Raw genomic sequence first — 27,774 nt, forward strand, 5'->3', positions numbered from 1 at the left:
AAAATTCAAGGATAACTTCTTATGACATACATGTATTATTTCTGTAATTAAAAAAACATTTTAAGAATATATGCTCACAGGCTGGCAGCGGTGGCTCACGCCTGTAATCCCAGCACTTTGGGAGGCTGAGGCAGGCGGATCACAAGGTCAGGAGATCGAGACAATCCTGGTTAACACGGTGAAACCCCGTCTCTACAAAAAATACAAAAAATTAGCTGGGCGTGGTGGCGGGCACCTGTAGTCCCAGCTACTCGGGAGGCTGAGGCAGGAGAATGGCGTGAATCCAGAGCTTGCAGTGAGCCAAGATTGTGCCACTGTACTCCAGCCTGGGCAACAGAGCAAGACTCCATCTAAAAAAAAAAAAAAAAAAAAAAAAAAAAAAAAAGAATATATGTTCACACAAAAACTTGTACACAAATGTTCATAGAAACCCTATGTACAAGACCCAAAAAGTGAAAACAACCCATATGTCCAACAACTTATGACTGGATAAACAAAACATTTATATCCATACAACTGATTTTTATTCCATAAATAGTAATAAAGTACTGATTCATGCTACAACATAAATCTTGAAAACATGTTAAGTGAAAGAAGCCAGTCACAAAAGACCACATATTCTATGATTCCATTTATATGAAATGTTCAGAATAGACAAATCCAAACAGACAGAAAGTAGATTACTGATTGCCCTGGGGTAGGGGGCGTTGAGGAACGGGAAGTGACTGCTAATGGGTTCTGCAATGGGTTGAGTGGTGTCCCCCAAAACTTCATGTCTACCTGAAACCTCAGAATGTGACTTTAGTTGGAAATAGAGTCTTTGCAGATCTAGTTAGTTAAGATGAAATCAGACTGGATTAGGGCAGGCCCTAAATCCAATTACTGGGGTCCTTATAAGTAGGCCATGGAAAGACACAGACACAGGGAAGAAGGCCATGCGAGACACAGACACAGAAGGCCATGTGAAGACGGAGGGAGAAACTGAAGTGATGCAGCCACAAGCCAAGGACTGCCAGGAGCCATCAGAAGCTAAGGAGGAAGCATGAAAGAGTCTTCTTCAGAGCAGCAGTCCCCAAGGCACGAAAAAGTCTTCCTTAGAGCAGCAGTCCCCAACCTTTTTGGCACCAGGGACTGGTTTCATGGAAGATAATTTTTCCACAGATCCGGGGTGGGGATAGGGGGATAGTTTCGGGATGACTGAAGTGAATTACATTTACTGTGCACTGTATTTCTATTATTATTACATCGTAATACATGATGAAATAATTATACAACTCACCATAAGGTAGAATCAGTAGGAGCCCTGAGCTTGTTTTCCTGCAACTAGACAGTCCCATATGGGGGTTATGGAAGACACTGACAGATCATCAGGCATTATATTCTCATAAGGAGTGTGCAACCTAGATCCCTTGCATGCACAGTTCACAATAGGATTCACGCTCCTATGAGAATCTAATGCCACTGCTGGTATGACAGGAGGAGGAGCTACGGCAGAAATGTGAGCGATGGGGGGCAGCCATAAATACAGATGAAACTTCAAGTGCTCACCTGTTACTTATCTCCTGCTGTGTGACCTTGTTCCTGACAGGCCACAGACAAGTAATGGTCTGTGGCTCTGGGGCTGGGGGCCCCTGCCCTAAAGCTTTTAGAGGAAGCAGAAGCCCCACCAACAACCTGTTTGGACTTCTAGCCTCCAGAACTGAAAGGGGATACAGTCTTTTCTTCTTATTTTTTGAGATGGAGTCTTGCTCTGTCACCCAGGCTAGAGTGCAGTGGCACGATCCTGGCTCACTGCAACCTCCACCTCCTGGGTTTGAGAGATTCTTCTGCCTCAGCCTCCTGAGTAGTTGGGACTATAGGCGTGCGCCAATACACCTGGCTAATTTTTGTATTTTTAGTAGAAAGGGGCTTCACCATGTTGGCCAGGATGGTCTTGATCTCCTGACGTCGTGATCTGCCCACCTCGGCCTCCTAAAGTGTTGGGATTACAGGCGTGAGCCACTGCACCCGGCCAGGAATACATTTCTGTTGTCTTAAGCCACCCAGCTTGTGGTACTTCGTTAAGAAACAGCTCTAGGAAACTATTACAGGCACAAAATTTGTGATGAAAATGTTCTAAAATTGATGGTTGCACAACTCTGTGGATATACTAAAAAAATTTTTTTTTTTTTTTTTTGAGACAGGATCTCACTCTGTCACCCAGGCTGGAGTGCAATGGCATGATCTTGACTCACTGCAACCTCCGCCTCCCAGGTTCAAGTGATTCTCCTGCCTCAGCCTCCCAAGTAGCTGGGACTACAGGCGTGCACCACCATGCCCGGCTAATTTTTGTATTTTTAGCAGAGACGGGGTTTCATCATGTTGGCCAGACTGGTCTCGAACTCCTGACCTCAGGTGATCTGCCTGCCTCAGCCTCCCAAAGTGTTGGAATTACAGGCGTAAGCCACCGTGCCCGGCCTAAAAACTTTTAAAATGTATACTTTAGTTGGGTGAATTTTATGGTCTGTGAATTATATCTCAATACAACTGTTATTTAAAAATATTTATAGCCACAAAATGCTGAAGAACCAATAAGGACCTTGAGTAACCCCAACATGGGAGCTTCCATTTTCAGTCAATCATTCAAGGTCTGAAGTTGAGTGTTAAACATTCGATGTTAAAACAGGATTGGCTGCTGGGTCTATTGCTGATTTGCTGCAGGGCCTTTTGGCTTCTTTTTTTTTTTTTTTTTTTTTTTTTGAGATAGGGTCTTGCTCTATCACCCAGGCTGGAGTGCAGCGGTACGATCTTTGCTCACCACTACCTCCGCCTCCTGGGTTCAAGCAATTCTCCTGCCTCAGCCTCCCGAGTAGCTAGGATTACAGGTGTGCGCCACCATGCCCGGCTAGTTTTTGCATTTTTAGTAGAGACAGGGTTTCACCAGGTTGGCCAGGCTGGTCTTGAACTCCTGACCTCAAGTGATCTGCCTGCCTGGGCTTCCCAAAGTGCTGGGATTACAGGCCTGAGCCACCAAGCCTGGCCACCTTTTGGCTTTTTGGACAGAACTCTTTCAATTGTAAGTCAGAAAACCAACACAAACAGGCTTAATCAAAATAACAACAGGAATCTGTCTCACATAATTGAGACATCTAAACAGTGTTACTAGATCTTTGATTCTCTTGGCTGTTTCCTTTGTTGCCTTCATTCTTTGCTGGCTTTCTCTAGGTAGTAGGAAAAGATGGCCACCGGCAGTCCCATGATTATGTGACCCTTACAGCTCCAGATCAAAACAGAAAGCCTTTCCTGATACCTCTGAGAACAAGTCCAGGGCAGTCCAGGGCTGGCTCACAGGCTATTCCTAGAGCCAGGGAGTAAGGTTAGCTTCAGCCAAGTCTGAGGCACAGAGCAGGATCACTGAAGAATGGGAAAAGAATGGCTCCCTGAAGAAAGAAAGGCTGGGAATACAAAATATATATTCGCTATGCTAGGCAAAGCTGTAAAACTTGCAGAGCGTCAAACATCATTTCAGCTCAATAAATATTTGCTGAATCAATGTAGGAACCCATAAAACAGAGCTGCTGCAGAGTACTTTCAAAGCATCATGTTCCAAACTCTGATTTCATATTTTAGAGAAGCAATAAAACACAATGGAAGTCAGATAGTGAGGTCATTAGTGAGATGCCATTTTAGCAGAGAGCTACTTCAATCAAGTATAGCTTGCTCTAAGTTCCAGATTCCATCTGTATTACACAACAGAGATGCAAAGCTCAGAAAGAATGTTCCCTGATTTAACTACCAAAAAAGCTAAGACTTGTCCTGCGTGGAGGAAGGCAGTTCAGGATGAAGGGTCCTGCTACCAGAGCAAACATTTCCTTCTCACTTGAACTGGTGATAATCCGGTGGGTTTCTGATCCAGGATCCAAACACCTGCTTCCGGAGTGTGCTCCAGGCTTCCTGGTAAGAGGACGCAGCCTCCTTGTACTCCTGGTAGGTATCCAGCTTCTGCACCCTAATGCACACAGGCCACCAAATACACAGGTTCTCATTGAATAGCCCACCCCAGGGGCCACCAGACACCTGAGCAAGCAACTGGACAGACTTGTAATGAGACTTAGGTAGAGAAGGAGTTCAGTATGCTTTTGTGAAAGTTGATCATACAAACTACGTTATTCTTGTCATACTCAACTGAAACAGAGTTGAGAAGCCAGGGGTAAAAAACACTCAGGGCGCATAACATTGCTCCAAGAATGCATTCTCTGCAAGCCTGGCTGCTAAAACTGCCTGCCAGTTTTATCTAACAGCTACTGAACCAACCTGCTGCAGACTTTAAGAATAGTTTTACCCAGTGCCATCACTTGGCAGCTCCTCACTTTACTCATGTCAATGAACCTTCTTCAACAATATGTTACATTTCTTTTTTGAAAAATAAAACCTCTAACCTTCCCTTTGTTCTTCAGACATATTGAAGACCACCCAGTCTGTATGTCTTGAATTTCTTGTATCCCAAATAAAATATTAAATTTAGAGATTTATCTTTACATTTTTATTTTGACTTTTGACACTTTCCTAGAGCAACTCTGTCTCCTTTGTAGGGAATTCACGAGAAAGCAACATGAATTAAAACAGTTAAGAATGAACAGAATTCTAGGTTTCTATGGTCCTAGTGGAATCAGATAAAATAAAAACAACTGTCTACTTTTTTGGTTTAAAAGTTTTCTAGGCCAGGCATGGTGGCTCACACCTGTAACCCCAGCACTTTGGGAGGCCGAAGCAGGCGGATCACCTGAGGTCAGGAGTTTGAGACCAGCCTGGCCAACATGGTGAAACCCCATCTCTACTAAAAATACAAAATTAGCCGGGCGTGGTGGCAGGCACCTGTAGTCCCAGCTACCTGGGAGGCTGAGGCAGGAGAATCACTTGAACCCAGGAAGCGGAGGTTCCTGTAAGCTACGATTGTGCCACTGTACTACACAGACTGGGCGACAGAGCAAGACACTGTCTCAAAAAAAAAAAAATACAGTAACTACTAGTTATCAAAACCCTACTACAAACCAGGCTCTTGGTCACATGCAACACTTCCCTTAATTGTCTCAGCTACCCTGTCTCAAAAACAAACAAACAAACAAACATACATACATGCCAGGCGGTGGCTCACGCCTGTAATCCTGGCACTTTGGGAGGCTGAGGCAGGTGGATCGCCCGAGGTCAGTAGTTCAAGACCAGCCTGGTCAATATGGTGAAACCCCGTCCCTACTAACTATACCAAAAATTAGCCGGGCGTGGTGGCGGGTGCCTGTAATCCTAGCTACTCTGGAGACTGAGGCAGGAAAATCACTTGAACCTGGGAGGCGGAGGCTGCAGTGAGCTGAAATTGTGCCACTGCACTCCAGCCTGGTTAACAGGAGCAAAACTCTGCCTTAGAAGTATCTCCTCACCTAAATTCAGATTTGACATATAGAATATATGGAAACCCAAGAAAGAAGCCAACTGACCACAGATCCATCACTTCAGTATGCATGATGGCGATGCCTCTTCATATAGAAGTTTCTAGCTACTCCTTAGTTTCCCCACTGTCATATAATGAAGGATTCACTTGGTCTTTGTCACCAGTTCCCGGGAGCCTCTAAGCTTTGGAGTTTCTGCAAGTGTCTTTGTCCTGCATGGTAGATCTCGCTGATCACACGTGAGTTTCTGTTTAACCAGGTGACTCATGGTGGGCCCCCGAGATAGTTTCAGGATGATACCGGCCATGCCAGAAAGACCAACCATGTAGAGAATTAGGGCTCTGAGACACGTGATATCAGTTTGAACTCTTGGGAGAGGAGGAGGTTGGAGATTAAGTTCAATCACATCATGTGGCCAATAATTCAATCAGTCATAATAGTTAATGAAACTCCAACAAAAACTTTGGACACTGATGTCTGAGTGAGATTCCTAGTTGGTGATGCGCAGCAATGTGCTGGGAAGGTGATATGTCCTGAGGACATGGAAGCTCTGCCTTTGCGACCCTCCCATATCTTACCCTATATCTCTCTCCTTTTGGCTAGTACTGATCTGTAGCCTTCATAATAAAACTTTAATGGCAACTATAGTGCTTTTCTGAGTTCTGAGAGATGTTCTAGTGAATGACTGAACGTGAAGGGGAGTGGAGACACTCAAATTTGTAGCCAGTTGGTCAGAAGTATGGGTGGTTTGGGGCTTTCCTTAACTTGTGGTAGTTGTTTGAAATGAAGACAGTTTAGTGGGAACTGTGTCCTTCACCTGTGAAACTTCACCTAAATCTAGGTGGTCACTGTCAGAATGTCACTGCACCCATCTACCTGTTCCCAAGAGTGGTTTTAAAGTTCTTTGAATTTTTGTTTGAAGAGCAATTTAAGTCATGGAGCTGCAAGTTCAAAAGGAAAAGAGGAGTAACACTTGTAACAGAATATATTGCTCTTAGAGCACTCCCATTTCCACAGTGATCTCCATCTAGAGGTGGAATCAAAGGAGGGCCTGGAATGGCCAAGCCCCAGTTCTATCCTTAGTTTTTTATAACTCTATACCACCAAACTACCCATCCTCTGCATCTCAGATCATGCACGTATCTGCAAATAGGGCTATGGGGAAAGAAGAACTTGTGGTCAACAATAAGTGCCACTGGCTTGCTGAACCACCACTCCTGCCAAAGCTTCTTGCTACTCAGAAGCCAGAATCAAAACAGTTGTCTACCTAAATATGAGAAAACATAGGTCAACAGCATCACCTGAGGGAGTGTGGCCACTTGTCCCTTGCAATTCTGCTTAGCAGCTTCTGGAATGATCTGAAGAGTTCCACTTTGCTGATTTGGGATCTGTTTGGAAAAAGAAGGCAAAGATGATTTATTAAGTGTTTAGTATGTTCTAAGCCCCTATCAAAGATGCCAGGCTTCATGTGGTTTTTAGGTTTGAAGGTGCCAGAGCCCCTCATTTTCACCTGTACTTGGTGAGGAGAAAATCCAGACCTGGATGTCTGATTAGGTTGAGGTATAAAAACGAGTCTAACCTTAAGAAATGCCATCAGCCATGGGATCATTAAAGTAACAAGCCCAAACGGGTACCCTGAGGTGCAATTACGAAATTTTGCCCCAGGATATCTGTAAGACACTTCTGGCTAAATCCTTTCAAGGGTGCTGGCCCCTATGGGTTTACAAGAAATGGAAAGCTTTGTTTCAGAGATCTGAGTGCTGTTCCCTGTGTGAACTGTCATTATAAAATCCACTTGGACGAGCCACCTGAGGCAGAATCCCTGGACTCCTGCCATGGGCATCACAGGCCTTTGGAGAACAAGCGTTTGCTCCTAAACAACAAAATTCTGGGTGGAGGTCATGGTTTGGAATACTTAAGGAGGTGAGTGTTGACTACTTTATAAGCCCACCCAGACCTTCGTGGTTGCCTTCTTTTCCCTCATGTATACAATTCATGAGCTGCATCTAGAAATTGGGAAATGCTGTGTATACCAACAATGTGCAGTCTCACTTTTACACACCACACTCTGCATCATCCTAGCAGATCACACCCTCAGCTTGGACACAGTGACCATCACTGCTACATGTAAAATAGGGAATTATGGAGTCTGTCCAAAATCTCCCTTACCTGGCTGGAACCTAGCCTACTTCAGGAATTGCTGCTTAAAGGGGAACCCTGAGCACTCAGACACTGCTCTCCCAGGGCCTTAGCTGGAGTGGCTGCTGGCACTCAGGAAGATGAGGCCACTTTAGCATGAAAACAAAGCAAAAATTAATGGAACTCTCATGAACAAATTAAAGAAGAACAATGTAATTAGGGATGGCCAAACACAGTGGCTCATGCCTGTAATCCCAGCACTTTGGGAGGCTGAGGTGAATGAGCAGATCACCTGAGGTCAGGAGTTCGAGACCAGCCTGGCTAACATGGTGAAACCCCATCTCTACTAAAAATACAAAAACTAGCTGGGAGTGGTGGCGCATGCCTGTAATCCCAGCTACTCAGGAGGCTGAAGCACGAGAATCACTTGAACCCAGGAGGCAGAGGTTGCAGTGAGCCAAGACTGTCCCAGTGCCCTCCAGCCTGGGTGACAGAGTGAGATTCTGTCTCAAAAAAAAAAAAAAAAAAAAAAAAATATATATATATATATATACACACACACACACACACACACACACACACACACACACACACACATATATACATATATATAATTATGGGGAAAATATACGCAAAGAAAGCATTTGGTAGAATTCAACATCCTTTGATTAAAAACCTTTTGGCAAACTAGGACTCGGGAAGAGTACTTAAATTTATAAAGCGCAACTATAAAAAACCTATAGCAAATATATGTCCTTAAAATCAGGAATAGGACAAGGGGGACTTGCTATCACCGCTTTTATTCAACATTATACAGAAGGTTCTGGCCAGCAGGACAGAAAAGAAAGAAAAGTGAAAAACAAAAACCAAGTCATCATCTGCAGATGATTTTGATATTGTCAGTTCTAGTCAACACAGTAAGAGAAATAAAAGGAACAGAAGGCTGGAAAGAAACACTACAGTTAACCCTTGGACAACACAGGTTTGAACTGTGTGGGTCCACTTACACATAGATTTTCTTCTGCCTCTGCAACTAGCAAGACCAAACCCTCTTCTTCTTCTCCTCCTCCTCAGCCTACTCAACATGAAGATCATGAGGATAAAGACCTTTATGATGATCCACTTCCACTTAATGAATAAATGTATTTTCTATTCCTTATGATTTTCTTTTCTCTTTTTTGTTTTTGAAATGGAGTCTCATTCTGTGGCCCAGGCTGGAGTGCAGTGGCGTGATCTCGGCTCACTGCAACCTCTGCCTCCTATGTTCAAGCAATTCTCCTGCCTTGGCCTCCCAAGTAGCTGGGATTACAGGCACGTACCATCACGCCCAGCTAATTTTTGTATTTTTAGTAGAGACGGTTTCGCCATGTTGGCCACACTGGTCTTGAACTCCTGACCTCAGGTTATCTGCCTGCCTCGGCCTCCCAAAGTGCTGGGATTACAGACGTGAGCCACAGCACCTGGCCTATTCCTTATGATTTTCTTAATAACATTTTCTTTTTTTAGTTTGCTTTATTTTAAGAATATGTATATAATACACATAACATACATAATACGTGTTAATTGTTTATGTCAAGGCTTCTGGTCAACAATAGGCTTGATGTTTTTGCAGAGCCAAAAGTTATATGCAGATTTTTGACTGCAAGGTGGGTCGGCACCACTAACACCCACATTGTTGAAAAGTCAGCTGTATTTGTATATGATGATCTACATTTAAAAAATCCCGAAAAAGGCTGGGTGTGGTGGCTTATATCTGTAATCCCAGCACTTTGGGAGGCTGAGGCGGGTGGATCACCTGAGGTCAGGAGTTCAAGACCAGCCTGCCCAACATGGCAAAATCCCGTCTCTACTAAAAATACAAAAAAATAGCTGGGTGAGATGGCAGGCGCCTGTAATCCCAGCTACTCGGGAGGCTGAGGCAGGAGAACTGCTTGAACCTGGGAGGCAGAGGTTGCAGTGAGCCAAGATCGTGCTACTGTACTCCAGCCTGGGCGGTAAGGGTGAAACTCTGTCTCAAAAAAAAAAAAAAAAAAAAAAATCCCCAAATCCCAAAAGCATTCCCAGACTAATTAGAATTATCATTCTTTTGGGTTTTTGTTGTTGTTGCTGTTGTTTGTTTTTTAGAGATTGGGGGGGGGGTCTCATTTTGTTGCCCAGGCTGGTCTCGAACTCCTGGCTTCAAGCAATCCTCCACCTCAGCCTCCCGAAGTGCTGGGATTATAGGAGTACAATTATTATTCTAGTGATAATGGTAAGGTTAGTGTTTTTATCTAGCAACCAACAGTAATTGCCACAAAGAGGAACAAAAGCTTAATTGCAACAGTAATAACCAGAAAACGGGATAAAAAGCTATCTAAAATAGCATCTGTGATAGCCAAACTCCAGAATGGTCCCCAGTGATTCTTGCCTCCTGGTATTCATGCCCCTTAGCAATCCCCTCCCATACGTAATAGGGCTGATCTGAATAACCATTAAGATATTACAGATAGGCTCTGGCTTCTGAGGCTAGGTCATAAAAGACACTGTGGCTTCTGCTTTGCTTTCTTGGATTGCCTGTTCTGTGGGGAGCCAGCCACTGAGTCGTGAAGCTGAATACTCTGGTAGCCTTGTGGAGAGGTCCTTGTTATAAGGAACTGAAGCCTCCTGCCAACAGCTGACACTGATCTGTCAGCCATGCAAGGTAACCATTTTGGAACAGGATCCTTGAGCCCCCGTCAAGTCTTCAGATGACTGCAGCCCTGGCTGCCATAATGGACTGCAATTTCATAAATTGCTGAGCTAAGCTAATTACTTAGCTAAGCTCCTCAATTCCAGACCCACATAACTATGTGAAATAATAAATGTATATTGTTGTTTTAAGCTGTTATTTTGGGGGTAATCTGTTACATAGAAACAGATAACTAACATACATTTAAGGAATAAATCTAATACAAGATGTGAAAGATTTATATAAAGCTATAAAACTTGCTGAAATATATGTAAGAAGACCTCAATAAGTGAACACTCAAAAACTACCAGTTATAGGCAGCACATGGTGGCTCACGCCTGTAATTCCAGTACTTTGGGAGGCTGAGGTGGGCAGATCACAAGGTCAGGAATTCAAGACCAGCCTGGCCAACATAGTGAAACCCCGTCTCTACTAAAAATGCAAAAAAAAATTAGCTGGGCGTGGTGGCGGGCATCTGTAGTCCCAGCTACTTGCGAGGCTGTAGAGAGATAAATGGCTAATAAGTACATAAAAAGATGCTCAACACCGTTTGTCATTAGGGAAATGTAAATGCAAATAAAAACTGTAATGAGGCCGGGTGAGATGGCTCTCACCTGTAATCCCAGCATTTTGGGAGGTTGAGGCGGGTGGATCACTTGAGGTCAGGAGTTTGAGACCAGCCTGGCCAACATGGCGAAACCCCTCTCTACTAAAAATACAAGAATTAGCCGGTGTGGTAGAACATGCCTACAGTCCCAGCTACTAGGAAGGCTGAGGCAGGAGAATCGCTTGAACCCCAGGGGCGGAGGTTGCAGTGAGCCAAGATTACGCCACTGAACTCCAGCCCAGGTGACAGAGCAAGACTCTATCTCAAAAAAAAAAAAAAAAGACTGTAATGAGATACCATTTCATACCCACTAGAATGACTACAATAAAAAAGACAATAACAAGTGTTGTAAAGGATTCAGGATAATTGGAACTCTAATACATTGTTGGTAGAACGTAAAATGGTACAGCTGCTATGGAAAACAGTTTAGCAGTTCCTCAAAAAAGTTAAACATAACAATTACCATATGACCCAGTAACACTACTCCTAGGTATACCCAAGAAAATTGAAAACATATGGCCATGCAAAAAGTGGTACATGAAATGTTCATAGTTCTACACAGCAGCACTATTCACAATAGCCAAAGAGTGAAACAACCCAAACGTCCATTCATGAACGAATGGCAAACAAAATGTGGTATATCCACACAATGGGATATTATTCAAGTCATGAATAGTAATGAAGTACTGATACAGCTACCTCAGGATGTACCTCCAAAACACTATGCTAAGTGAAAGAAGCCAGATACAAAAGGTCATATACTGTAGGATTCCAATGATAGAAAATGTCCAGACTAGACAAATCCACGGAGACAGGAAGTAAATTAAGTAAATTAGAGGTTTCCAAGGGATGAGGAGAGGGAGGGATAGGTAGTGACTGCTAATGGGTATGGTTGTTCTTTTTGGGGTAATAAAAATGTTCTAGAATTAGATAGTGGTAGAGTGTGAGTTCACAGCCACCATCTCCTCCTGCCCCAATATGCTGTACCTTGCCTGAAGGCTTCCAATTGTTTTCTTTGTTGTTCCCTGTGGAAAGCCATTGGCAGTAACATCCAAAGGCTGCTCAGGAACTGCACTCCAGCTGATGGCTATGAAAAGATAAGATTCTAGGGTTAAAACTGCTCAATTTCTTGTGAAAGTCAGAAGTATTTTAATAAAAATATTTCTCTGACTCTACAGACCCATGAGAGCTGGATATGATGTCACAGACAATGACTGCTATTGGATGCTTGGCCTCCAGGGTACAGTAGTCTAAGTGGTTCATAATTCATTATTATTATGATAGCTAACAATCACTGAGCATTTATTATTTGCTGGGCACAGAGTAAATGCATTAAACAGAATTTCTCACTGAATCTTCCCAATAACCCTGATAAATGATATTCTTCTAATCTGAAGACAAAGAAATTGAGGCCAAGGGAGGGTAAATAACATGCCGGGGGTCACAAGAGCATAAACGTGACCCACTATGGGTGTCTCTAAAGCCCACACTACCGGCCACTAGAGTGGTGAACTACCTTCCTAGGCTGGGAGGATGCCGACCCTCTGGGGCCACTCTCAGTCAGGGGAGCAGTTACTCCAGGGCAGGTCTAACCTGGATCTCTTACCTGCCCCACAAGGAACAAGTCGACCTGGGCTATCAGCCCTTTTTGCCTGCACCGCACTGCGGCTCTGTTCAAATAGTAAATCTGACTGCAGTATTTTTAATTCTTGAACTCCGAAGCCTTTTGGTAAAGCAGACACATTCTGACACCTAAATACAAGGGAAAATGCATTCAGTTTAGGTGCATGCCTAGAGAAAACAGTATCTAGGATTGTGGCTCACATCATCACCCCTGAGCCTTAGCAGGTGTGGGGATTTGTTTATTTATTTGGGCAGACAGTGTTTCAGAATAGAATCAAGATTGTAAGCACCTCATGGCTGGAAGAAGATCCTTCTCCCTCAATCTGCAGGGATAACTAAGAATCAAGTCAACACCCTTCAGGGATGTAACACCAAACTCCATTCCTGATATAGGCTTTGAGAAACTTGAAAAGTTTAAGCAGAAACATTAATGTGTTGGCACCTGCTTCCTAGGGAATCCTTCAAACACACCAAAACCCAAAATTATCCTATAATATAAAAGCTTCATTTTTTTCTCTTGTATCTTTGAACAAACTAGATGCCAACATGATGCTGGTCTAGAATGAAGCAGATAGCAACTGCAAGTACCAGAATAGGAAAAACAGAAAACATCCCAGGCACAGTGCCTAGGGTTGGCTTTTTTAAAAAAAAACAAAAAACCAACATCTTTATAGGGATATAGTTCACATACCATAAAATGTACTCATTTAAAGTGGATAATTCAATTGTTTTTAGTATATTCATAGAACTGTACAACTATCATGGTAATGTAATTTAAGGAATTTTCATCACCCCAGAAAGAAACCTCGTACCTATTAGCATTCACTCTCTATTCCCTGGTAACCACTTAAATTTTTTGTTTTTTTGAGATAGGGTCTCTGTTGCTCAGACTGGAGTGCAGTCACATGATCTCGGCTCACTGCAACTTCTGCCCCCTGGTCTCAAGCGATCCTCCCACCTCCACCTCCCAAGTAGCTGAGACTACAGGCATGCACCATCATGTCCGACTAATTTTTAAATTTTTTGTAGAGATGGGATTTTGCCATATTGCCTAGGCTGGTCTTGAACTCCTTGGCTCAAGCGATCCTCCCACTCCAGCCTCCCAAAGTGCTGGCATTACAGGCATGAGCCACAGCACCTAGCCTGTGGTAACTACTAAGCTATTATCTGTCTTTATGGATTTGCCTGTTCTAGATATTACACAAATAAAATTATACAATATGTGATTTCTTTCACTTAGCATTATATTTTCAAGTTCATCCATGCTGCAGCATGTAATAGTACTTCAGTCGTTTTTATAGCTGAATCATAGTCCATTGTATGGATATATCACATTTGATTTATCCATTCATCCACTAATGGACATTTGTCTTTTTGTTTATTATGAATAATGCTGTTGTGAACATTTATGTACAGGTTTTTGTTATATACATATACACTTTTTTTTTTTTTTGGAGACAGGGTTTCACTCTGTTGTCTAGGATGGAGTGCAGTGGTGAAATCACGGTTCACTGCAGCCTCAACATCCCGTGGCTCTGGTGATCCTCCCACATCAGCTCCCCATGCAGATGGGACTACAAGTGTGTGCCACCACACCTGGCTGAGTTTTGTATTTTTTGTAGAGACAGGGTTTCCTCATGTTGACCAGGTTGGTCTTGAACTCCTGGACTCAAGCAATCTGCGTGACATGGCCTCCCAAGATGCTAGGATTACAGGCATGAGCTACTGTACTTGGCCTACTTGTGTGAATGTATGTTTTCATTTATTTTGGGTTGTACCTAGGAGTGGAATTGCTGGACCATATCTTGAGGCTTCACATTTGATATGGGCCTATGAGGCTTGCCCTGGCCATGGCTTTGCCCTGCCCTCATTTCCTATAGCACTGAGTTTGGCTGCCTCCTTTAGGGAGACCACACTTGAGTGGTCATCTTTTGACTTTTAACTTTAAAAAAATTAAAACTAATGTTTAGGGCTGGGTGAGGTGGCTCACACCTATAATCCCAACACTGTGGCAGGCCAAGGTGGGAGAATTACTTAAGGCCAGGAGTTCAAGACCAGCCTGGGTAACCCAATAACACCCCGTCTCCACAAAAAAAATTTAAAAATCAGCCAAGTGTGGTGGCTTATGCCTGTAATCTTAGCTATTCAGGAGGCTGAGGCAGGAGGATCACTTGAGCTCAGGAACTGGAGGCTGTAGTAAACTATGATTGTACCACTGCACTCCAGTCTGGGTGAGACCCAGTGAAACCTTGTCACTACAAAAACATTCTGAAAGCCCCAAACTAATGTTTAGGGTTAAAAAACATATATAATGGCAATGTATGTGCACTGTAGAAAAATCAGAAAATATATTAAAAACAAAGAAGAAAAAAACCACCCATAATACAACTCAGAGATTATTAATAATACCTTAGCGCTCATCCTCTTATAATTTTTCTTATGTGTGGATGTACTTTAAGACCAAAATTGGCTTTTTATCTTCTAAACTGTTCTTTAAACAGTATAGACATGTTTCCATATTAAATATTCATAAATATTATTATTTTATTTGAGACAGGGTCTGTCACCCAGGCTGGAGTGCAGTGGAATGACCTTGGTTCACTGCAGCCTCAATCTTCCCAGGGTCAGGTGATCCTCCTGCCTCAGCTGCCCTATTCTAGGACTACAGGTGCGTGCCACATCTGGCTAGTTTTTGTATTTTTTGTAAAGACGGGGTTTCCTCATGTTACCTAGGCTGGTCTAGAACTTCTGTGCTCAAGCAATCCGCCCCCCTCGACCTCCCAAAGTGCTGGGATTACAGTCGTGAGCCACCATGCCCAGCCATTCATCAATACTATTTTTAACAACAAAGAAAACACTTAATTTCCTATTACTGGGCATTTCAGTTGTTTACTTTTCTTCTTTAAAAAAATTATTAGCCGGGCGCGGTGGCTCACACCTGTAATCCCAGCACTTTGGGAGACCGAGGTGGGTGGATCACCTGAGGTCAGGAGTTTGAGACCAGCCTGACCAACATGGTGAAACCCCGTCTCTACTAAAAATACAAAAATTAGCCAGGCGTGGTGGCGCATGCCTGTAGTCCCAGCTACTCATGAAGCTGAGGCAGGAGAATCACTTGAACCCAGGAGGCGGTGGCTGCAGTGAGCCCAGAGCACGCCATTGCACCCCAGCCTGGGTGACAGAGCAAGACTCCGTCTCTAAAAAACAAAAAAAAATTATATACAAAGCTAAATGTTCAAATACTTTAATTATTTCCTTAAGACAAATTCCTGGAAGTGGAACTGCTGGATCAAAAGGTATGGAGATTCTTAATGCTCTTAGGCCTTACCCTCAGACTGCCTCTTGGAATGACTGTTCCAATTGAGCCCTCCCTACCCTCTCACCTTCCAATCAGTGCTCTCTGCATGGCTTCCTGGCTGTATGGGCACTTCCCAATGACCACAGCTGACAGGTAGATGGGCTCTTCCAGCAAGTGCATCAACAGTGCCCCTTGGCATCCGAGGACGTTCCATCGGGCCATCTTGTCACTACAGGACATGGAGCGTGTTCTGTCTCCACGGCCTGGCTTCACTCGGAGCAGCCCCACCTGGTGAAACGCAGCACCCGGCTTTCCGGAGTCTCCAGCTTCTCCAGGTACACACTTGGCTCCAGTTCTATAAACGTCTATCACTTTGGCACTACCAGGGGCTATTCTGGTGACAGTAGCCAGTCCCTCTACAGTGAGATCACAGCTGTGGATGCCTGGTGAGATTGGGCCACTTTTCTGCTTGCCAAAACTCTGATGGTGAGCTGCTCCGTTGGTGACCTCCCTGGCTGCAGTCCCAGGCTCAAGCCTCATCTTTTTGGTTACAGGACTGTCAGGGTCTTCACATTTTCTTTCATTTCCAGGAGCTTCCAGGTTACTACTGGCTTCTACTGATGAGTTGTGGGCCCAATTTCTGAAGACAGGACAGCAAGGCTGATCTTCAAACTCAAGCATCGGAATGATGGAGGCATCCCCACCTGCAGAGAATGAACCCACTTAAACAAATGGTTCTCAAGTGAGGTCCCTGGACCAGCCACAATGGGATCTCTTGGGAATTCATCAGAAATGCAAACTCTTGGGACCCACAGTAGACCTGCTGAATCAGAAACTCCGGAGGCAGAGCCCAGCAGTGTGTTTTTAACAAGCTCTCCAGGTGATTCTGATGCAAGCTCAAGTTTGAGAACTACTGACTTCATCTATTCTCCCAGCTGACCTGAGATGAGTTAAGAGCACATGCACACAATTCCCTAATAAGAATCCTCTAGGGCTCTTGTTGAAGACTCTATCCTGGACCCAGTGAGTTGGAATTTCTGGAGAAGGGCATGCAAAATGGAATATTTTAACAAAGATCTGAGCTAATTTTTATCACTAGGAATTTTTGGAAAAATGGGTTTAGACCAGGGTTTCTCAACCACGGTACTAATGACATTTTTTTGACATGCAGTCTGGCTCTGTTGCCCAGGCTGGAGTGCAGTGGGGTGATCTCTGCTCACTGCAATCTCTACCTCCTGGGTTCAAGTCATTCTCCTGCTTCAGCCTCCCGAGTAGCTGGAATTACATGCACACATCACCACGACTGGCTAATGTTTGTATTTTTAGTAGAGACGAGGTTTCACCATGTTGGCCAGGCTGGTCTTGACCTCAAGTGACTCCTGACCTCGAGTGATCCGCCCACCTTGGCCTCCCAAAGTGCTGGGATTACAGGTGTGAGCCAGCGTGCCCGGCCACTAATGACACTTTGGACTGTATCACTGTTTGCTGTGGCGGCTGTCCTGTACATTACGGAATATTTAGCAGCATACCTGGTCTCTACCTACTAAATGCCAATAGGACTACCAGTCCCAGTATGAAAATAAAGAATGTCTCCAGATGTTGCCAAAAGTCTCCTGGGGAGCAAAACTTTCCAAACTGAGAACCACTGGCTTAGAATGAACAAGGTTTCCCAAGTGCATTTTGTGAAATGCTATTCCCTAAGATGCTTTGGAAAACAAAAGTGGGTGGTTTATTTCATAAAGAAATTTGGCAGGCAGGGTGCGGTGGCTCATGCCTGTAATCCCAGCACTTTGGGAGGCCGAGGTGGGCGGATCACGAGGTGAGGAGTTCGAGACCAGCCTGGCCAATATGGTGAAACCCTGTCTCTACTAAGAATACAAAAATTAGCCGGGTGTGGTGGCGCGCACCTGTAGTCCCAGCTACTCGGGAGGCTAAGGCAGAACAATCGCTTGAATCCAGGAGGTGGAGGTTGCAGTGAGCCAAGAATGCGCCACTGCACTCCAGCCTGGGTGACAGAGGGAGATTCCATCTCAAAAAAAAAGGAAAAGAAATTTGGCAACCATTGCTCAGAATTTCCCCATCTTGGAGATTTTATGATGCATGGCCCCACAGTAAAGACTCTAAAGTAAATTACACACCTAGTCTAAACCAATGTTTCCAAAATTTCCAGTGTTTCCTCTTGCTGGTTTAGAGATTTCTGACCTCCTCTGTCCTTACAGGAAACAGAAGAAAACTAGAGGTCAGTAAGAACCACAGCTCTCCCTTGAGAAGCGAAAGATTTCTTCAAACACTAACCTGATGAGTGTTGCTTTTCTAAAGTGTATAAATAATACATCTGTAATCTTTATAACTCAAGAGTGGGAAAGGCAAGAGATACAGAAGTGGGAATACATCTGGAGAGGTTGGCTGGCTGACTTCCAGAGACCTCACAAGGTCACAGTGACTTTGGAGAACTCACCAGGGTCCATCTCCCACTCTGCAGGCTTGGAAATTGGATCTTGACAGAATGCCTGAATGCAAGAGCCTGACTCATGCTAATAAAACTCATAAGAGCCTGAAGTAGCTAACCCAGCCAACAAATTATTAATTACTCATAGGATGTAAATACCAAGGGAGCCAGAGAGGCACATTCTCTAGGTAATGTTCTCTCTCTCTGCAGACAAACCATGGGAGGACATCACATTTTAAAAGATTACCAGCAAAATTTCCTGAAGATTTTTAAGATGAACAGAGGGTTGCCAACTTTTTATTCCATCAAGGAAGATCTTTAAAAATCTCAATTACCGGCCAGGCGCAGTGGTTCATGCCTGTAATCTCAGCACTTTGGGAGGCCGAGGTGGGCGAATCACTTGAGGTCAGGAGTTCGAGACCAGCCTGGCCAATGTGGTGAAACCCTGTTTCTACTAAAAATACAAAAAAATTAGCCGGGCGTGGTGGCGCATGCCTATATTCCCACCTACTTGGGAGGCCAAGGCAGGAGAATCGCCTGGACCCGGGAGGTGGAGATTGCAATGAGCCGAGATCGAGAAAAAAAAAAAAAATTCAATCGCCATCACTTAAAAAAAAACTCTCATTTCCTTTAAAGTGAAAGAAATTAGTTTTGCAAAATTCACTACATAGTCTTGAGCTTTCTTGGTTTTTTTCAGGGACTGTTCTCACAGATCAGTACCTGTTTGTTGACCACTGACTTAAGGAGTTTGATAAGGGCATAATCAAACTACATAAGTGTCCAGTATTTTGGCTTCCCTGGGCCACATTGGAAGAATAAAAATTGTCTTGGGCCACACACAAAATACACGAACGCAAACGATAGTTGATGAGCTAAAAAAAAAAAAAAAAAAAAAAAAAAAAAAAAAAAATCGCAAGAAAAATCTCATAATGTTTTAAGAAAGTTTAAGAATTTGTCTTGGGCCACATTCAAAGCTGTCCTGGGCTGCATGTAGCCAGGCAGGCCGTGGGTTAGACAAGTTTGGATTAGGCCATCAGGCTGTGATCCTCAGATGCTTCTTTCTCCACAATAAGGCTATAGCTGTCACTGGGATCACCCCGGTCCTAGCTACTCAATGTGTGGTCTATGGACCCACACTGCTGGCATGCCTTGGGAGTTGGCTAGAAATGCAGAACCTCAGGCCCCACTCCAGACCTAATGAATCTCAATCTGCATGTTCTTCAGGAGATTCATGTGCATATTACAGCTTGAGAGGAGCTGATTAGGAAACAACCTTTGGGCCTTGGACTAGGGCCCTTACGGCTAAGAAAAGAGCAAGGATGAGTGCTGCCTACCTGTCATTTTTCTGGGCTTTGACTCTTAAAACTCTTTTCTCATACTCTTTCTTTCTTCTCTCTCTTTTTTTTTTTTTCCCTTCTTTTTGACTGAGTCTTGCCGGGTCATCCAGGCTGGAGTGCAACGGCGCAATCTCGGCTCACTGCAACTTCTGCCTCCCGGGTTCAAATGATTCTCCTGCCTCAGCCTCCCGAGTAGCTGGGATTACAGGCATGCACCACCATGCCCAGCTAATTTTGTATATTTAGTAGAAATGGGGTTTCTCCATGTTGGTCAGGCTGGTCTGGAACTCTCGACCTCAAGTGATCTGCCCGCCTCGGACTCCCAAAGTCCTGGCATTACAGGTGTGAGCCACCGTGCCTGGCCTCATTCTTTCTTAAGCTGTATCTATATTTTCAATTTGAGTTATGATCAAATCTACACAGCTATTCTATTTCTTCATAGTGATTTCTTATCTCTGCTCTAATTGCATGTGTTAGCTTTAAAGCTTAAAAGTTTTAAGGTTTAATCTTATATCCTTATTTCAAAGGTTTTAGGGTGAGAAAATTTTGCTGCCATCCTGAGTTGTTATCCACAAAAGGTAGAAGTTATTTTCAATTTTTAAGAAAGAAAAACAAAAGACGGAAATGACACCCCCTTCACCCCAGGCTAGGTCTTCCTGTCTTATGCAACCATAGCACCTGAACATACCCTTATAACCCACCAAAATTTACCCTAACTAACCATGACTGTCTACATTTCCTAAAAGACTATGAAGGTAAGCAATATGCTAGTCTTATTCATTTCTGTATACTCAGTATGTCATATCGTGCCTGACAAATAGTAGAAAGTATTTGTTCAATGACTAAATGAACGAAATGAGTTTTAGGATAAGTCACTATAGGATTTCCAAGCCCCATGTTGGCTTCACATCTTGTGAGGTTTCAGCCTTACGCTCCTAATCCTGATTCTGAGAATTGACTAATAGTATGAGTGAGACTCTGCACCCCTTGCCTCTGTCTTCTCTTTAGATGAAACCTTTAGAAGTGATTAGGTACACTAGCCTGTCATAAAAAGGCACTGTCACTACTTGTGGCTACTTGTGACTACCTGTGGCTACTTCAGCCATTAGTGCTTTTTAGGAAAAAACCTACCTATGGATAACACAAACATAAGGAAGTAGTTCATGTAACATTAATCCAAAGGCTTGAATATACTTACAGGGTGTATGGCTGGAGAAAAACACAAAAATGAGGTCTCGTCTAAGTTTCCACACTCCTTTTTGAGTTCCTGGGACAAAGATGCTATCCTCTTTCAGGGTGGCTGCCAACTGGAGTTGGTGGAGAAGGTACCTAAGGGTTGCAAGATGTTATTAGGATGAACAACCGATCTCTGTGGTAAGGGGAAAGCCTCTGGTTGGGTGATTACTAAGACAGCTTACTGTAGACTAATGGGACTGGTAGTGATGGGGAATTATGAGAATGCTCTAGACCAGTGATTCTCAAAGTGTGGTCCCTGTACCAGCAGCATCAGCATCACCTGGGAATTTGTTAGACCTCCAATTTCAACTGGCCTCGGTGGCTCATATCTGTAACCCCAGCTACTTGGGAGACTGAGGCAGGAAGACTGCTTAAGCCCAGGAGTTTGAGGCTGTAGTGAGCTATGATTCTGCCACTGTACTTCAGCTTGGGTGACAGAGTGAGACTCTATTTTTGTTTCTTTTTTTTTTTTTAGAAAAATAAAAAAGAAAGAAGAAACCCAATTTCTGAGGTTCCACCCTAGATATGCTGAATCAGAATCTCTGTGGTGGGCTCAGCAATCTGGGTTTTAACAAGCCTTCTAGGTTCTTCTGATGTACAATCAAGTTTGAGTACCACTAGTCCAGGCCAGGATTGTGACTCATGCCTGTAAATCCGGCACTTTAGGAGGCTGAGGCAGGAGGATCGCTTGAGCCCCAGGAATCCAACACCAGCCTGGGTAGCATAGTGACACCCTGTCTTTAAAAAAAAAAAAAAACCCAGGAAAAGTTAGCTGGGTGTGGTGGCATGCGCCTGTAACCCCAGCTATTCAGGAGGCTGAGGTGGGAGGCTTGCTTGAGTCCCAGGAGGCCAAGGCTGCAATGAGCTGAGATCACATCACTGCACTCTAGCCTAGGTAACAGAGCAAGACCCTGTGTCCAAAAAAAAAAAAAAAAAAAAAAAAAAGAGAGAACCACTAGTCTAGACCACATTACTACTCAAAAGTGTAGTTTACAGACTAATATCATCTGTATTACCTAGGAGCTTATTAGAAATGTAAATTCTGGGTGAGGCGCGGTGGCTCACACCTGTAATCCCAGCACTTTGAGAGACTGAGGCGTGTGGATAATGAGGTCAGGAGTTTAAAACCAGCCTGGCCAGCATGGTGAAACCCCATCTCTACTAAAAACACAAAAAATTAGTTGAGCATGGTGGCACGGGCCTGTAGTCTCAGCTACTTGGGAGGCTGAGGCAGGAGAATTGCTTGAACCCAGCAGGCGGAGGTTGCAGTGAGCTGAGATCATGCCACTGCACTCCAGCCTGGGCAACAGAGCAAGACTCTGTCCCCCCCAAAAAAAAAAAAAAAAGTAAATTCCGGGACTCCCACCCCAGTCCTGCTGAACCATACTCTGGAGATGTGGCTTTACCTTTGGAAACTCCTTCTGGCTATGACCTCAGCATGGCTATCATTGAGGATGTCTCCTGCGGCAAAGATAGGACACCAGGTGAAGACATATGGAAGCTGGAGAGGGTCTGGTTCCTAGAAGCAGAACACAGCAGTCCCACCAGCACCCAGGATGGTCATGTAGCTCCTGGAGAGCTTTGCCAGAAGGTACCACAATCATGAATAACAATGCATCAGGTGCAGGGTTTCTCAACCCAGCACTGTAGACATTTTGGGCCAGAAAATTTTTTGTTGTGGGGGATCTATTCCATCCATACACTGTAGACTGTTTATTAGTAGTATTCCTGGCCTCTACCCATGAGATGACACTAGCACCCCTCCCTCAGTTGTGACAACTAAAAATGTCTCTAGACATTGCGAAATGTCCTCTGGGATGCAAATCACCCCCAGGTGAGAAACATTAATTTATAGAAAAACCTCATTCGGAGAACAAAGGTCTAGATCTTTTGTACAGAAGTATCCTACTTGTGCTCATGGTGGTACAATTCCATCTAATCCAATCCACAGTGATCCTGGAACAGGTTCCTCATATACAGGAGGTTAAGGCAAGGAGAATGGTAGAAGCCAACTCAAAGAGGAACCTGCTAGCTAGAAGAGGTAAAGACCCCAGATCTCGGCCAGGGACGCAATAGCTCATGCCTGTAATCCCAGCACTTTGGGAGGCCAAGGCAGGAGGATAGCTTGAGGCTGGGAGTTTGAGACCAGCCTGGCTAACACAGTGAGACCAAATCTCTACAAAATAAAAATGAAAAAAATTAGCTGCACATAGGTGTGCATAGCTGTGCACACCTATAGTCCAGCTACTCAGGAAGCTGAAGTGGGAGGATCACTTGAGCCCAGGAGTTCAAGGCTGCAGTGAGCTATGATAGTACCACCGTACTTCAGTGAGACCCTGTCTCTTAAAAAAAAAAAAACCACTGAAACAGACAAATAAAAACCCCCAGATCTCTAAGGAATTTTCATATTCTTGTTGAGGCCCAAAGCTTCCTGTCATTCAAGATTGCTTACCAGGTGCGGTGGCTCACACCTTTAATCCCAGCACTTTGGGAGGCCAATGTGGGCAGATCACCTGAGGTCAGGAGTTCAAGACTAGCTTGGCCAGCATGGTGAAACCCCGTCTCTAAAAAAATACAAAAATTAGCTGGGCGTGATGGTGGGTGCCTGCTGAGGCAGGAGAATCGCTTAAACCCAGGAAGGGGAGGTTGCAGAGCAGTGAATCGAGATTGCCCCATTGCACTCCAGCCTGGGTGACAGAGCGAGACTCCGAGTCAAAAAAAAAAAAAAAAAAAAAGATTGCTTTCTTGGGCTTCAGAAGCCACTCAAGCTGCATCCTCTACCTGCTATAGAGTCCCAAAGCCTTCCAGACCTAATGTGGAATAGCTAAACCCAGGGACTCTGTGGTTTGAGCATGAAAATACTGGTTAACTTTCAGTTATTCGGAAAGCATGTTCCTAGAGGCCTCCGCTTTGATGGTGGATTTCCATTCTCCAAGTGAGTACGGTCCTTCCAACTGGACTGATAGTCAGTAGGAAACAAATGCCATGCACCTCAACTGACATGGCCCCTCTTCCCTGACAAGGAGAGTAAAACATGGACACTGGTTTCAAGCTAAATCTTTGTTTAGATTCCCACCCGTGCTTACCGTTCTTCCTCATTTTGGACTGTCCTATGCATTTTGTTCCTGTTCCCATTGACACAACTTCCTTTGTCACTGTGGGAAAAAAACAAATCGTGTGAGTTCTGAGAAACGGAATGTTCCCCGGTGTTCAGGTGTGATCAGCCTGCACACTCCTCTAGGGGATTCCCAGAGGCCCACTCAACCAAGGTCTGCGGTTCCAGCATGGCGGTCTCCCGCCATCAGAGGTACTGCGTCACCTAGCAGAGGACAAGCACATATGCCTAACATCGTAGTTCACACCCTACCCACGACTGTACCCTCACAGTACAGCAATGCATAATTTTACCATCTCTCACAGTGAGGAGCATGCCAAGAAGAAAAAGTCTCACCTTGCACCGGCTTATCAGGGGTGTCGCAGGCCTTGTCAGCTGGAGATTGTATCTTCACCACCGCTGCCAATAATGTCCACTCATGGTTTGGCTCAGGCTTCCCCTTCTTGGGCAGCCTGATCCCATAGTGTTCATAGCATAGCTGAGCAATCTCATCCGCGGTCCACATGGTCTGAGCTGGTATTGAGACCTTGATCAAAAACCACAACCATCAGAAGTACGGAAAGGAGAACCAGTGCACGATGCTACAGCCTCTCATATCCATGCTTCGAGTCTTTCAAATGGAGCAGACCGAGGTTTCCCTATCTGGAACTCTATGGATCATTTTCTTCTACTATCTCCCTGCCCCCTTTTCATCTTTAATGAAAGATCAAAGAAACCCCAAATTCTACCAATCCCCAAAATTATTGTTTCAAGTTTTTCTTAATGTTATATATCTGATACATTTCTAAGGAGTCTGCATCCTCTACTCAACATTAAAGGACACGAGAAGGAAATGTCCTCACTACTCCAGTTTTCACTGGAAACGGCATGTAAAGGGTTGCAGACTCACTTGCTTTGGGCAGACCCTCACTGTATAAGGTTTATCTTTCTGGACAGATGTTCTTATCTGTCTTCTTTTTCCAGGCATTTTATTTTTCTCCTTTCCCCTACAGCAGAGTGTTTCTCTACCGCCCTCTAGTAAATCCCCACTGAAATGTTTCTCAGCAGTTACGTGTTCTCATAGAGCTCTACTTAAGGGTGTGGACTTTGGATTCACCCTTTCTGGGTTCTAATTTTGGCTTTGCCACAAATTAACTGTGATGCTGAATAGACTACTTAACCTTGCTGGGTCTGTTTCCTCATCTGTCAAAATAGTGATAACAATAGTATCTAACCTATTTAGATTATTGTGAAGATTAAATAATACTTAGGGTTACTGTGAGGGTTAAATAAGTAATACTTATAAAAAGCAATTGCTACTATGTTGAGCATAATTAAGGTCAACTGTGATTACTATTACAAAAAATAACATTTGATGATTTTCCTGGTTAATTTGCCTTGAGCTACCTGGTGGTGGGGGTGAAAGGGGGAGGGCTGTAATGGGCATAGAAAGCCATGAATTAAAAAACCATCAAGCAGATCCCTAGGATACTTTGCAGGGAAATCTCTCACTCTTGGCCCTATCAATGCTCACTAGGCACATCCTGATCTCATTTGGACTCAATTATACAAAAAGCTTCCCAGTAGAAGATGAGCTTGTGATAGACATAGCTAAGCACTGTAAAACCAAACTGAAGGCCGGGCGCGGTGGCTCACCTGAGGTCAGGAGTTCGAGGCCAGCCTGGCCAACGTGGTGAAACCCTGTCTCTACTGAAAATACAAAAAAATTAGCCGGGCGTGATGGCGCGTGCCTGTAGTCCCAGCTACTCGGGAGGCTGAGGCAGGAGAATCGCTTGAACCCGGGAGGCGGAGGTCGCAATGAGCCGAGATTGTGCCACTGCACTCCAGGCTGGGTGACAGAGCGAGACTCCCTCTCAAAAAAACAAAAAAGGCTTTCCTGAGCTCCAGTGCATGCAGCTTTTGAAAGATGGTATTGTTATGAATCCCCTGCAGCGCAACGTGCAGGCTCGCTACTGTAGTGAATGCTACTGGTAAATCAGACCACAGTGATTTAAAACAAAAATCTGCAGGAAGTGAGACCCTGTGACTTGAAAGTCAGAGGGCCAGGGCAAGCCTTGTCAAGAAAAGAAAGCATGAGATCCTAGAATCCTCGTTTGGAAGGGACTCACCTCTCATTTCTAGGGAGGCATCACAAGGCAGTATAGTTTATGAAGACCACCTGGCCATCGACCTGAAATTAAACCAGAGGTGCAATTCACAAACCTCGATAGGCAAGGCAGGTAGAAGTTGCCAGAAGAAACAGTGACTCTCTTTAAGATGAAGCAGCCCAGAACGGCATCATCTCACTCAGGTAGTGCGTCTGAATGAGCATGCACAATTGTTTAAATGAATAAATGTTTTGCTACACTGGGTCCATTATAATTCGAGCCTACACCCCCTCCTAGATCTTGAAAACTTGAAGAACTTCTTAGCTGAAAATAACAGCTCAGCTAAACAGGCATTTATTTGCCCACAAGACCGCATCTCTGAACAGTTTCAACAAGCTAAAAAAACTGACGTCCTTTCCAAAGAAAAGGAAGTCGGCTGCCAGGGGAGAAAAGGCTTCAGCGATGCTTGGAGGAAGGGACTCTGGTTTACGCTGGCTCCCTTCCTAAACACTTCCGGAAGCAGAGCCCCTTCCCGGCCGCTGGAGAAGCCTGGGTGGGACCCCGAGTCGGCCAGTTACAGGATAGGAGGTGCCAGGCAAGGCACTGAAGCCATGCAGTGAGAACAGCGTGAGCGCCTGATCCATTGGGTCCTGCGGCTGCCAGGCCAGAGGCCCCGCGCCAGGAGCTCTTCAGGCGCCGGCTGCTGACAGTTCCAGGCGTGGAGCGCCTTCCCACGTGAAACGCGTCCCGGAAGATACGATCCTCACAACCTCTTCCCTCAAAAACAGACTCGGCAAAGTTAGCCCGGATAAACCTGCCCCGTCGCCCCAGCGCCTCGCGGACGCTCCCCTCCCACCTTCAGGAAACGCGCCTAGAAGAAAGCGAGCTTAATCCGCCGGTAAGGCGGACGTGACGTCACAAAGCGCCGGTTCCTTTCGGCTCCCGCTCCCAGAGGCGCGCAGTGCATGCCGGGCCCTGTAGTTTTTCCGGGGAGTCGGTGCCAGGGCCGAGATTCCCGCGCTTCAAGTCCCGCAGCCCTGGCTGCGTCTTAGAGAGGCGTGAAACCGGATGATGGGAGCCGCTTGTTGGCTTAGATATTCCTTCAACTAGAATGACGTATCTTGCAGCACTCGGCTGAATTTTTTTCTTTTTCTTTTTTTTTTTTGAGACGGAGTCTTGCTCTGTTGCTCAGGCTGGAGTGTAGAGGCGCGATCTCGGCTCACTGCAACCTTCGCCTCCCGGTTCAAGCGATTCTCCTGACTATGCTGTATTTCTATCTGTAACATCACTGTCCAATAGATATATAATTCGAACCATATACGTAATTTAAAAATTTCCAGTAGCCTCATTAAAAGTCAAAATAGAAACAATCATATATATTTTATTTAACCCATACATCCCAAATAGTATTATTTCAACATATAATCAAAAAATTTTTTGAGATGGAGTCTCGCTTTGTCGCCCAGGCTGGAAGCGGCGCAATTTCGGCGCACTGCAACCTCCGTCTCCTGGCTTCAAGCGATTCTCCTGCCTCAGCCTCCCAAGTAGCTGGGATTACAGGCGCCCGCCATCACACCCGGCTCATTTTTGTTATTTTTAGTAGAGACGGGGTTTCGCCATGTTACCAGGCTGGTCTCGAACTCCTGACCTCAAGTGATCCGCCCGCCTCAACCTCCCAGAGTGCTGGGATTACAGGCGTGAGTCACGATGCCCGGGGTCGGTCTGTCTGTCTCATATATATATATATATATAT

At 44.6% G+C, this 27,774-nt stretch overlaps 1 protein-coding gene across 10 annotated transcripts, besides 7 other annotated features; it reads right to left on the bottom strand.

Annotated features, from left to right (window-relative positions):
* ADAT1 (adenosine deaminase tRNA specific 1) lies at positions 508-26,921 on the bottom strand. Of its 10 annotated transcripts, none has more exons than NM_012091.5 (11): positions 26,878-26,921; positions 26,043-26,104; positions 24,271-24,460; positions 23,906-23,974; positions 22,226-22,280; positions 20,782-20,912; positions 15,883-16,501; positions 12,483-12,628; positions 11,864-11,963; positions 6,725-6,811; positions 508-3,988 (listed from the first exon to the last, which is right to left on the bottom strand). In NM_012091.5, exons 3-11 carry the CDS (start codon positions 24,437-24,439, stop codon positions 3,856-3,858), a joined length of 1,509 nt encoding a protein of 502 aa, NP_036223.2. In that variant the 5' UTR covers positions 24,440-24,460; positions 26,043-26,104; positions 26,878-26,921; the 3' UTR covers positions 508-3,855. The 10 variants fall into 10 exon arrangements, with proteins under 10 accessions (NP_036223.2, NP_001311373.1, NP_001311375.1 ...); NM_001324444.2 differs by having other exon boundaries at positions 22,226-22,338; NM_001324446.2 differs by lacking the exon at positions 26,043-26,104 and adding an exon at positions 23,272-23,383 and having other exon boundaries at positions 26,137-26,921.
* Positions 24,791-25,085: a silencer, noted in NCBI's record as "tiled region #14871; HepG2 Repressive non-DNase unmatched - State 8:EnhW". NCBI's record gives its function as "represses a minimal TATA promoter and a strong SV40 promoter by Sharpr-MPRA in HepG2 cells {active_cell/tissue: HepG2}" and the evidence as "EXISTENCE:reporter gene assay evidence [ECO:0000049][PMID:27701403]".
* Positions 25,154-25,674: an enhancer, noted in NCBI's record as "H3K27ac-H3K4me1 hESC enhancer chr16:75655412-75655932 (GRCh37/hg19 assembly coordinates)". NCBI's record gives its function as "activates a minimal SCP1, AML or CMV promoter by ChIP-STARR-seq in naive H9 embryonic stem cells {active_cell/tissue: H9 hESC(naive)}" and the evidence as "EXISTENCE:reporter gene assay evidence [ECO:0000049][PMID:30033119]".
* Positions 25,675-26,194: an enhancer, noted in NCBI's record as "H3K27ac-H3K4me1 hESC enhancer chr16:75655933-75656452 (GRCh37/hg19 assembly coordinates)". NCBI's record gives its function as "activates a minimal SCP1, AML or CMV promoter by ChIP-STARR-seq in naive H9 embryonic stem cells {active_cell/tissue: H9 hESC(naive)}" and the evidence as "EXISTENCE:reporter gene assay evidence [ECO:0000049][PMID:30033119]".
* Positions 26,195-26,714: an enhancer, noted in NCBI's record as "H3K27ac hESC enhancer chr16:75656453-75656972 (GRCh37/hg19 assembly coordinates)". NCBI's record gives its function as "activates a minimal SCP1, AML or CMV promoter by ChIP-STARR-seq in naive H9 embryonic stem cells {active_cell/tissue: H9 hESC(naive)}" and the evidence as "EXISTENCE:reporter gene assay evidence [ECO:0000049][PMID:30033119]".
* Positions 26,195-27,234: a biological region, named in NCBI's record as "H3K27ac hESC enhancers GRCh37_chr16:75656453-75656972 and GRCh37_chr16:75656973-75657492".
* Positions 26,596-26,835: an enhancer, noted in NCBI's record as "active region_11143". NCBI's record gives its function as "activates an Ori minimal core promoter by ATAC-STARR-seq in GM12878 lymphoblastoid cells {active_cell/tissue: GM12878}" and the evidence as "EXISTENCE:reporter gene assay evidence [ECO:0000049][PMID:35858748]".
* Positions 26,715-27,234: an enhancer, noted in NCBI's record as "H3K27ac hESC enhancer chr16:75656973-75657492 (GRCh37/hg19 assembly coordinates)". NCBI's record gives its function as "activates a minimal SCP1, AML or CMV promoter by ChIP-STARR-seq in naive H9 embryonic stem cells {active_cell/tissue: H9 hESC(naive)}" and the evidence as "EXISTENCE:reporter gene assay evidence [ECO:0000049][PMID:30033119]".

This window comes from Homo sapiens, chromosome 16 (assembly GCF_000001405.40).
Source record: "Homo sapiens chromosome 16, GRCh38.p14 Primary Assembly".
Classification (NCBI taxonomy): domain Eukaryota; kingdom Metazoa; phylum Chordata; class Mammalia; order Primates; family Hominidae; genus Homo; species Homo sapiens.